The following is a 12,650-nucleotide window of genomic DNA, read 5'->3' on the forward strand; positions in this document are numbered from 1 at the left end:
TAGAGCCATCAAACACTCTTGACCTAGTACCATCAAAGTTTGAATTAAAGATTTCAAAATTGGTATGTCCATCTTTCTCTGATCTTTTTTTTTTTTTTTTTTTTTTTTTTTTTTTTTTTTTTTTTTTGAGACGGAGTCTCGCTCTGTCGCCCAGGCTGGAGTGCAGTGGCGGGATCTCGGCTCAGTGCAAGCTCCGCCTCCCGGGTTCACACCATTCTCCTGCCTCAGCCTCCCAAGTAGCTGGGACTACAGGCGCCCGCCACTACGCCCGGCTAATTTTTTGTATTTTTAGTAGAGACGGGGTTTCACCGTTTTAGCCGGGATGGTCTCGATCTCCTGACCTCGTGATCCGCCCGCCTCGGCCTCCCAAAGTGCTGGGATTACAGGCGTGAGCCACCGCGCCCGGCCCCATCTTTCTCTGATCTTTTTATATCTGAAAAAATGATTCATCTTACTCTTCCTTTCTGTGGCATAGCTCCTAATATTTTCTCACAGGGTACAACTAGTTCTTAGGCTTCTGCTCACTGAAAAGGGGTAAGAAATGAGGGCATACTATAGATGCAGAGTTTTGTAATCATGTGGATATCAGCCACTTGTAATGGTATTAGGCTATATCTATGATAATGATCATATGACTTAAGTCTTTACAATGTGTTAGATATTTTACTCACTCAAGATCTTGTGATTAAAAATAGGAATGTCTGAATTTGAAGGCACATTGGTTTAGTGCCAATATCCAAACCACTGGGATACAAGTTAAGAACAAGAAAAAAAGTGAGGATTACTCCCAGTCATTTTAAAGTTAAGATAAATTACAAAACTGGCATATAATATGATACAACACATTAGGGGTTCAGCAAATTTCTTCAAAGGGTTAGACTGGTTCTTAGGTGGGATCAAAGACAAACAGAAGACATTCATCTATCTAATGAAACTAAAAGTCAATCAGGATGGAGTTGGCATAGTACTGAAAGAATAGCAAAAAGAATTCCAGAAGCACACCTTGGCAATGCCCACTCAAACACTGTTAAGGGAGAAGGCATCTTGGCCAACAGACTCAGAGAATTACAGTCTCATTCATCTATTCAATATTTTTTGAACACAGTATGTTCTAGCTGTCAGACTAGGTGCTAAGGATACAGTGGTGTACAAGAACCACAATGGCCCTCATCCACATGGAGCTTGTGTCTAGCAGGGGATTTATATCCAGAGAGAATTCTAGATAGATGCTTCATACTGTTTTGTCAGATGCCAGTAAGTGTTTGAGCCATAGGACTCCTTTTATTCTGAACATACATTGGTTTGGTAGTCTGACTATAATTGGCTTTCTACGTAGATCTTTTATAGGAGAATATAATGTTTTTGAGAGACCAAGAGTTCTGATCTACCTCACAATTACTTATCAGGGAAAATAAACAGTTTGATTTACATCAAGAAATCAGTCTACTATGAGTAAGCTGACAAAAATAAAATTTAGAACTTCTGAGTTTGAGGAGCAGATTTAGGCCCACTAAAGTAATGACACCTTGTGAAGCCTCTTGGGGGATGCACAGCCAGGCAAGCACCCCAACCTCTCATTTGAGTATTCCTCTGTTATCTTTGAAATAAACCAAATGCAACTCAAATTACAAGATAAGCATAGAAGTTCAAAGCTAGAAATGTTTATTATTCCAAATAATTAAAAATTATCTGATTAGAGACATTTATATTTTCCTATTCATAAAGTAGTCTGTGCAGTCAAAACAATTTTTAAGATATATACCTTAAATTTTTATCCCCAGAGTTACTATCTTGTGTAATATAAACCATGATAAATACATTTCTCTCTGTTATGACTTCTTCCAATGACTCAAAACAAGTTAATAATACTTTGCTAACCATCAGGAATGAATTCCACGAATATAAAATGCTCAATGGGCCCTAAGTACCTTTCTTCCAAGCCACTAATACTAAGCCAAAAAAAAAAAAAAAAAGAGGCATAACTGGCATCAAAATCAATCAGTAGGCTTTATAGAAGGATATCTTTATTGATTATTCATTAATGATACATCTGTGACTGCTTCTATTTTTAGTGCTATGCTATTGAAAAAGGTGACTTTTAATATGCAGAACTTTAGAAGTCATTGAAATAGTAAAGATGTACAGCGCAAAGACATGCTAAGTTCAATAATAAATGGTCACATGAATGAGGCCACATGTATTCCACGGTAGAGTTGACTTTTAAGGCAATACATTAAAACAAACATAAAGTAGTACCATATATTTATTATATAGTGGTCTCCGCTGGGAAACACAGACAAACATTAAGATATATTATATACTTAAATATGCAGAAATGATCAGCTAAGGACCTGAAGATAATATAACAAGATTTTAAGTTTGCCAACTTTCTCTTTGGCTTTCTCCCTGGGTAGCAGAAAGATATATTCACTGAATCTTCTGAACAGCCAAAACTTTGAGGTTGAAAACAACCTTAAAAATCTCTCCTTACACTACAGCTCCCTCAGAAAATAGCTTTCTGTTTAATACAATTTTCCTCAAATTTTCACAAGGCCAACTTTTCTTGTGAGAAACAAATTCTTTCTTAAAAAAAAAAGCTCCTTACAATGTTCTACAATCCATTTTCTCTTTAAACCCAACCTTTCAATTTATAACAAATTACTTCCTTTGGGTGAATCAGAAGTGCCATTGAAGTCTTTTTTAGGTAGCATATTTCTGAGCACTTACAAATAAGAGTGTATTTATAGAGAATGAATAATAAGAGGAAGAATTAGTTCAGGTAAACATGACATTAGAAACAGTAAAAGAATTAGAACTGTAAAAATTGCTTCTGAAAACCACTGCTATATCCTACACACCATCTGTGTCTACTTTATTGATCATCAAAAGCTTTATCTCTACTTGGTTTCTCCACTCTGGAATACAGCCTGAGAATAATTTTGAATAGGCAAGAAAGCAGTGAAAACAAATAAAAGGTTACATTCATTACCAGACATTTGAAGGAAGAAATGAAATATTTGCACAAAATTGACCTGTGGCTGAGCAACATTATAATCCCCAAATCCCTAATATATACTAGCTGGTTGAAGGAGTAAGAGAATCCCATTGAAATAATATTTTCAATGAAAGTGCTTCCTATTAAAGTGACATTTAGCAGAAGCTCTGGAAGTCACACATTTCCTAGCTTTCTTACTAAAGAATGTACTTCAGAAATAATGAAATACAAAAATCTTCCACTCTTCAGTATCCAATTTTTGCTGCTCATGAAATGAGTGGGGGACCATGACATACCTCTCTAAGCACTGGTTCTATTTTCTTTGAGCCCCTGTATATCTATGGATTTAAGTAAGTTGTTCTCCCAGTTTTGGGGGTTGGATACCCTTTAGGATCTGACAAAAGTCATACACCTTCTTCTGCATACGTGTACTCACACAGTTGAATGTAAAATTTCAGGAGATTCACTCTCTTTAGAAGCTAATCCACATACTCCAGGCCAACATTCCAGGCTTGAAGTGAAAAGGTGAAGGAAGAATAGATATTTTGTATTGCTGAATTTAAAAATAAATTTAAAAGCAAGCAATAAAACAGGCAAAAGAAAGAATGAGAGAGAGAGAAAAGAAAAGAAAAGAACAATAAAATCTTGAAGGTATTCTGTGTCTGAATCTGTTAGGAAGAGCACCTCCATCATCATCTCCGTCCTGCTGTTTATGTTGTCACCAACTAAAGGTAGGTGGGTCAATGATAAAAGAGTACCTTCTGTTTATCTCCCAAGAATTCAGCTTGCCTGAGTGAGAATGGCCTATATTTCATCACCTAGTTTTTGAAGACTCTGAGCCCCAGATATGTCCTATGAGGACAGATTTCCAAACTAAAAATCAGGACATATAGTCTGACACCTTAAGTATATTTATGGAAGCATTGGTACTATCTAGGAAAGCCTATGATATCAGATAGATTGTGTCCCTTTTGTGATGGGTCTCCTCATCTCATCTAGAACTTTTAACTAACTCGTAACTGCTCTGTAATTACACATACTAAATCTGCAATTTACTTTGAAATGCACCAGAAATAGGATGGATTGAAAGAAGAATATAGGAGTGATGTATTTTGGATATGTGATAAAGCAAATATAGTAAAATGTGAGTGGTAGAATCTGAGTATACAAATGTTTATTGTAAAATTCTTCCAAATTTTCAAGATGTTTAAAAGGGTTTATGATAAAAATTTTGGGAAAAGTACAATGAAGAAATGAAAATTTTGCAGAAGAAATACTCCAAGTAGATGGCAATGATTATATAGCTGAGGTAGAATCATAGGTGATGTTTTTATTTGTGGATTTTTTGTATTTTAAAATTTTCTATGGAGTTTTTTAGGGTGTAAAGTAACAACACCTTTAATAAAGGATTTAGAAATCAGACCACCATAAACTGGACTGCTGGAGCAGAGGATTGTTGTTGGAGACTGATAAGGGAAGAGCTTTGCAAAGTTGATGTGGGACTGTTTATTCTAGGAATCAGACTTTCTCTTTGAAGGTAACCAGGTAGAGGAGGAGTAAGAGCCTTAAGGGGCTGTGCAAGGAAATGGCGCAACAGGATTAGAGCTTTAAAAACATAATAATAAATTCTCAAAATAGAAGATTAAATTGGGGTGAAGGAAAAGGTACAGAGTACATGTGAGGTTCATGAGGAAACTCAGCAATCCACATAGCAAAATCTTTAGTAACACAAGCAGATTTCTTCTCACAGGCAATTACTATAAAAGCCTTTACTAGTTCTTACTAACATAAATAACTGCAAAATATCGTAGAATATATCAGGGAGTGGGGCCTTATTCTACTTCACTAGCCAAATGATTTCCCAATACTGTCTTGTCCTACTCCTAGGAGAGAAGCAGGAGAGGAGAAAATTTTGGGGGCAGTTTGATTTTATAATGCATGTGAACAAGAGATGTATGTTGTTAAAAATATTTACAATTGTGTGGACACATACACACTTAGCCATAATTGCTTCACCTGAGCCTCTTAAATACATATTAACAGCAAAAATATTGTAATAGAATCATTCTAGTAAAATTCTCTTTCTGAGTTCCATGTTATTTTCCGGTTAAATAAATTCAGTGAAATCAATAATTTATTTTAAGAAAAATGCAGAGAAGTATTAAAAGTATCCTAAAATAATACATACAGCATTTACATTCTAGTAAGGGTTTTGTCCAAATAATGTTGTGTTATACTTGTCTGTAGGAAATCAGACAGCAAAATCTTTATATTGTGTTATAATGTCAAGCCATCAGTAAGACATTCATGCCTTTAAGGAATAAACTCAGTATTTGTGACTATAAGATCAATTTCTTACCACTAATATAAGTGAAGTGCAGGTATAAAGGAGCATTCTTAAAACAAGAGGAAATAAAATATTTGTATTTAATACAATGCCCCAACTGTAATGGTCACATATCTGAAAACGGTAATTGACTGATAAGCAACAAAATAGCAAAGAACAATAGTATTTGTAGTCTAAATTAATATACTGTCTCAGTAAATGTAAAATGCATAATCGTAAACATAACAACTATATGGATTGAACCTATTTTCCTCATATCATCTAAGAACGACAATAGATGATATCATATGTTGCTTATGAATGAGAATTTGGACAAAGCAATCAGATGCAATAAGACAAAGACAACAAATTATGTTTGACAGATTATGATTTTTCTCTATTTCTCTCAATACAGGCATCAAATATAGCAGCATGTGATCACTGCAGCTGCACAGAGGCAAATGGAAGTTGGTACCATCATCTGAATCTATTTTCCTTTATTTTTGTAATAGGTAGAAACTAGAATATAAATGCAGCCATTCAATACCACTCAAAAGCCTCTGAATGGACCAAATTAGAAGGAAGCACTAAAACCTGCCTAAGGAACCACTGAGAAAGCAGTTGCCTAAAGAGGCTTATGTTCTTGACCTACCTCAGTGAGCCACTATTTATAGGACCCAAGGCAATACAGTGTGGAATATTAATTGCATTTATGGCCTCAATAATTCACCCCCTCTGTAGTCATTCCTTTGTCAAGTGAATTTTGAGTACTTCCTGTAAGAGCAAAGTACATTTGACCACCCTATGTGACCCGCTTCAGACAACAGGACAAATCAGAAGTGACAGCATAACAGTGACAAACATAGACCTCAAGAGGTCTTGTATGTTTCCGCTTTCCTTCTTGCACTTTTGCCATTGCCATGAGAAGAACATGCCCAGACTAGACTGTTGGTCCCAGGAAAAGGATGAAAAACACGTGGGGGCAGATCTGTCAAAGCTAAGGGATGCCAACCAAGCCCAGCCTAGCACAGAGCCTGTGGTCATCCTGAGGTCAGTGAGTGATCCCAGGAGAGATCAGCGAAACCACTGAACTAAGCCCAGCCTAGTTCAGTGAACCCTGCACACATATGAGAAACAAATGTTCTTTGTTGTATGCCACTGAGATTTTTGTGATTGTCTGTTACAGAGCAGCAAAATCTAACTGATACATAACTTTTCTGTGTCGAGTTTCGTTACGTATAAGTAGGTGGTAAATTTTTTAAATTGGCTTTTTGTAAAGACTATCTAAATCTACAATACATGAAACATCTTGCACTTCCACTGCCTATTTTGAAAATTATTGACAAATTCTTATCTTTCCATGTGTGTACAGATTGCCCAGTAGTTCTGCCATTTTTTTACTGATATTTTTAATATGGTAGAAAAATTACATTATAATGTATATCAGAAGACCTTATATTTCTTTGTTTTACCTTGTAAGAGAAAGACAAGTCACTGCATTATTTGATGGCCTCACATACAGACAACCCTGAAGGACTTTCATAGAAATGGGTGTCTACAGATCTTCCCAGAAGTTTTATGTCCTATTCCAGGATACAACAACAGTAACAGCTAACTGGACTATGAGATAGGAAAAAATAAATTTACTAAGTTGTCCTTTTCAAATATTTCATGCAATACTTTCATTAATATACTTTCTAAAAACCATTCAACCACTGAGCAACTTATTAGAACATTGGCATTGGTTTTCCTTGTTCCATCTTAGAAATAATGCTTCCAAATTATCCAACAGAGATGACTACAATTTTGGATGACTCACACTCTTATAGAACAAATCTTTGCAAAACATATTGTCACTGATGAGTGCCTTTGTGTGTTAGGTGAACTTTTAATAAATTTAAATAAACCTAAATGAGTTCTGATTTATTTTCCTTTAAAATGTTTAATCTGATTATCTGAAATGGAGGAGAGCAGCCTCAAGGGTTTATAGGTCCCATACCTAAACCATACTATAAATGCACATATGTGCACCAATCTAATAGATTTACTTTTAAAACACCATTTCACTTAGCTTAATATTAGAAATTTTGTCTTTCTAGTGTATACAACCAACAATTTGTACAAGAAAGTAGACCGAATGTGTGTGAGGTAATAGGGAGGAAATAGGTTCCTTATAAACATAACAATCATTATTGATCAAGTACTGTGTACTAAGTGATGTTCTGAAAACACATTTTTGAGTCAAGATGCTCAAGATCTAATAGGAAGAAGACGTGAAATATTATACGAATTCATGAATAAGCACAAAGAGAGATAAGATCACATATTGATAAACCATCTCACATAACCAATGAATATCAAATGTACCAATACCTGAAAAGAATCACATATTCAGTTAAATTGGTACTCTAAATACACTTCCTGAAATTCTTCCAAAGTGAGAAAATACACCAATTAGTTTTCCAGAGAGTATCTAATAACAGTTTTTTTCTATAAAAGAAACTTAGAGATATATTTTAACAGATTAGATTCATATTCTAAACGTAAGAATAACTAACATTACTTTAGCGACGCTCTGCCTGAAGAAATACTGGCTTTGTTCAGAGGTTAATATTTGGAAAACAAGGAACAGAAACTTACATTTTTAAGAACCATACTTCCAGACTTAAATGTCCAAACAATATGCAATGCATATATCATTATTCTTATTTTCATTAGTGAGGCAACAATCTTAAAGAGGTCATAACCCTAGAATAGATGTTCTTAACATGTAGTGTGTAGACCCCTGAGGGTCCCTAAGAACCTGAAGAGGGCTCATTAGGTCAAAATCAATTTCATAATAGTATTAATACTAATACTTTATTGTCCTCCCTTTTCTATGTTGATATTTGCATGCTGGTACAGAAGCAGTGGCAAGTATAACTGCTGGTACCTTATCACAAATCAAGGCAGTGGCAGCATCAGCTGTGCTAACAGTACACTGCCAGAAAACTGGGGGTGGGGGGAGTGTCAGAGTGTCGAAGTCTTTTAAGAATGTCCCTGACCAAACAGTAAAAAAAATGTTAAATCATAATTCTTGATTATATATCTTTTTAATATTCCATGTGACAAAATGAAAAATGCAAGTAACTTACTTCATACCTAAATATGATGTTTGTGAAAGCACCTGTGCAATTGTTTGAGTTGCAAGCTGAACTAGACACTTTGTGCATGAAGTACTGTTTTTACTTGAATGAATGACTGACAGATAAACTATGGCTATTCAGACTTGAGTATTTGGCAGACATTTTCTTGAAGATAAAGTAAACCTGACATTTCAAAGAAAACAATTGACAGTGATTGTTACCAATAAAATTTGAGCTTTAGAGCTAAATTATAATTTGGGGAAACTTTTATCTGCCACTGCCCATTTGATAAGCTTCCCAATATATAAAATCTTCTCTGAGGAAAAGAGTGGCAAAATTAAAGAGGTAACTGTTATAAATGTGTCAACATTAGAAAGATTGGCATAATTCAGTGAAACAATGAGCAATGCATGATGTTACAAACTCGTGCATGCAAAAAAGATTCATTCAAAATGCAAGATACACCATTGGAATTAAATTTAACTGAGTACAAAAAATAAAGGTTCATTGATATGGTTTTCGATTCTACATTGCAACTAACCTTTAAGAAACTACCACTAATCAAAGTTTTGGTGTAGCATTAAAGAATATTCACAATTACTTAAAAAGGTATTAAAATACTCCTTCCTTTTCCAACTGCATATCTGTGTCAGGCAGATTTTCTTCATATACTTCAACCAATATAACATATTGCAACAGACTGAATGTAGAAAGAGATATGAGAATCCAGCTGTCTTCTATGAAGCCAGAAATTAAATAAGTTTGCAAAAAATATAAAATAATACATTCTTTTTACTATTTTTTGTTTTGGAAAATATAGTTATGTCTCATAAAAATTGTTTTTTTATGGCTTGTTATTGTAAATGAATAAATATTTCTAAAGTAGTTGAGTTTTAATTTCAAACATAGTAAGTATTAACAGATATGACCCACATTTAAAAAAATATTTTTGGGGTCCTCATAATTTTTAATAGTGCACCTGAAACCAAAACATTTGAGAATGGCTATCACTTAGTGGTAAGGAGAAAATATTAAAACCCTGCTTACTCTGACCCAAAGGCCATGCCTTTCCCACTTAACTGCAATACATTTCATTACAAATAAATTTCAGAGATTGAAATTTCCAAAAAATAGAGGAATTATTCTCTAACAGAAAAAAGCTTTGGTACCATAAGTTTATTATTATTGTAAATTAATTTCAGACTTTCATAAACTATATAATATATGCATATCTCATATTAAGATACTTTAAGTCACATTTATGACTATTATTTAAGTCACAGAGGGCTGAAGCAATTTCCTCCATGTACCTGCAAGTTTTCTTGAAAGACTGGGGATGTAGTATTAGAGGAAAAGTGATTCATGCTTTAAGAATCTGTTCAATTAAATTAAGAATTGTCATAGCCTGAAAATCTGTTCTTTTACTTTTTGATGTAATATTTTAAGACTTTTTTTTCTGGTAATACAGGCACTTAATTTTATTTCTACAGATATAATTCTAATTTAGGGTAATTTATGTTATTTCAGGTAAAAACATTTGACTTCCTAAACAAGTCACATTATGGTATTGATGCCCTTTATTTTCCATTGTCAAGATATCTTTCTGCTTAGTTTGCTAACAAATCATTAGTCTTTCCTGCCACAATAAAACTGCAGGCTAATATTATATTTCAAAGGGTGCATTTTATGATATTGGTATGATTAAGGATGGTGTAATGAATTTATTAGCAGTTGCTCCAGCTTCATACCCAGTGAACTCTAAAGGAGGATGTTCATGATGAAAAAAGGATGGCTCAACTTCAATATTGAGAATAAAATAAATGTGTGAAATGTGTTGTTGAAGAATGTCTCATATGGCTTACAAACGATTGTCCTTTAGATGGAAGATCATGTATTTCTTTTGGGGGAAGAATAAAAAGAAAGGGTGAAGAAATCTGTAGCATGGCAGCCAAAGTGAGTAAATAAGAAAGAAGAAACTACATAAGAAAAAGAAAAATATAGATACATAACTCATTAAAATACTTACTGCATGTGCTTACAGCTCAAAGCAAGAATAAATTTAGGTAGCACAAACATAGAGAATCTAGGAAACAGAAAACTAATTTGGACAATGCATGAAAAGAGATACTCAGTTTAGCTGATCTCATTTTCAGTGTCTACACCTCAAAGGGACTTCAGAGAGCATTGATTGTTTTCAAGTATTAATTTTTTAAAGGCAGGTGAATGCTTTTTTCCCCCTCAGTGAATTTATATATGGAATTATAATCAACAAAACAGAGAAAAGTCGAGCTGCTATGTTTCAGTTGAGGGGAGAGCTTTCTTTTAGCCATTTCTACAGCCCCAAATCCATGGCAAAAAACATCTCTGGCCAAAGGTCGTCAAACACCGAACTTGAATATAGGAATGCAGAGCAGTTGGGGTTGCGGGTAGGTAGCTGGCAGCGTGATAGAAACTTAGAAACAAAGATAAGGCAAGCTGGCCAATGTTTTAAGTGCCATTCTGAAGGCAATGGTAGAATTGAGAATGTGGTGATAGAACGAGGTGCCACTACTGAAATGAGAGATTTTTCTGGAGTTTTGGAGAAGATTAGCACTGTGAAACCAGATAGATCAACAGAGAAGTCATAAGTTGCCCATGTAGGAAACACGAGCACATGACAGAAAGCAAAATCACTACCTCTAACAAAAATAGTATTAATTTATCTTTAAAATTCTTTAGTTGAAAAAGCTTCTATTGGCTTATAATTATTACCCAGAATCATTCCTAGGGCTTAAACGGTGTTTTCTTCTTAAAGCCTCGTGAAAGCAATTTCTTAGTTCTCTACGTAGGCGCACACCTCCTCGGCAAATGGTTTGTTTTTAATAGGCGCCGCAAATCAGTAAAACTGACAATGAACTTGAACGGGTTTCCCTCTTCACGTCGGTAAGCAGAGTGAAATGTGCAGCCCACTCTTAGTAAGCGTGTATGATAACCTGGCCAGGCGCGGTGGCTCACGCCTGTAATCCCAGCACTTTGGGAGGCCGAGGCGGGCGGATCACGACGTCAGGAGATCAAGACCATCCTGGCTAACACGGTGAAACCCCGTTTCTACTAAAAAGAATACAAAAAATTAGCTGGGCGTGGTGGCGGGCGCCTGTAGTCCCAGCTACTCGGGAGGCTGAGGCAGGAGAATGGCGTGAACCCGGGAGGTGGAGCTTGCAGTGAGCCGAGATCGCGCCACTGCACTCCAGCCTGGGTGACAGAGCCAGACTCTGTCTAAAAAAAAAAAAACAAAAAACAAATATTGTATGATAACCTGACATCTATCTCTATTACTGGCCTTATTCTGGGGTCTCTTTTATTCCCTTATCCTTGTTATCACCTAACCTCATCTTTGCCATTTGGTTAAAATTGATGTTTTCTTGTTACAGTACATACCTTGATATATTTATAAAATTGTTAAAATCTTTTTTACAGCAAAGTAGGTTATCAGTAAATGGACAATAGTTTAATCTTGTTTGCTAAATAGTAACAGAAATGGGATGTGAGTCAAGTTTTGAGTTCTAGGACTAACATTCAAAATCTTTAATCGCAGTATTATCTTCCTTCGTATACAGAAGCGATGGTACTTGTACTGTCTGATTGTCTCATTAAATAACAGCACAGTTATGTCAGATGACTGTCCAGTTTTAGGTGTGCAATCTATAGTCCTAGAAAAAAGCACAAGCAGCTAGGGAATTATGCTCAGAAATTCAGTTCAGTTTTTAGCATCACTGATACTAGAGACCAGTCAATTAAGTAATTCAGACCAGACTCTTTTTGCTCAATTGTGTAAACAAAGTATACCTAATTATGTTCTTTATCTGACAGAATGAGCATCCTAGAGTCATTAAAATGTATACTGAATAAGGATATGTGAAAGCAAACAAAGAAAGCACCCCCATGCTAATAGCAACATTTTCTCAAAAGTTTTTAGTCACATAATTATTATAATATTATTTTAAACCTGAGAAGAATATTATTCTCAAGAACAGGCCTTGGAAATAGAGAATGATGCCGCCCAATTCAGACAGAAATTGGTTACAAGGAAGTTAGACTACTTAATCAACATCGAAAAAAGTGTAGATTTGTGGCACACTGTGCCAGGATTTGAAGATAGAAAAAAAGCAAAGAATGCAGCCATTTTTTTTCCATCCGGGAGTTTTTAACTTGATTGGGGAGATTC

General features: G+C 35.0%; 1 protein-coding gene across 14 annotated transcripts in view; it reads right to left on the reverse strand.

The window, feature by feature from the left end:
- The window catches only part of MAGI2 (membrane associated guanylate kinase, WW and PDZ domain containing 2), a 1,436,613-nt gene that overhangs the window by 711,402 nt on the left and 712,561 nt on the right, over positions 1–12,650 (reverse strand). For 2 of the 14 annotated variants that reach the window (XM_017012847.3, XM_011516720.4), the window contains exon 1: positions 1–12,650. This exon is cut by the window's left edge; it is cut by the window's right edge and continues 21,085 nt beyond it. The exons of the other annotated variants lie outside the window; for them this stretch is intronic. The gene's annotated coding sequence lies outside the window, so the exon portion shown is untranslated. 14 annotated transcript variants of the gene reach the window in all.

This window comes from Homo sapiens, chromosome 7 (assembly GCF_000001405.40).
Source record: "Homo sapiens chromosome 7, GRCh38.p14 Primary Assembly".
NCBI classification, from domain to species: domain Eukaryota; kingdom Metazoa; phylum Chordata; class Mammalia; order Primates; family Hominidae; genus Homo; species Homo sapiens.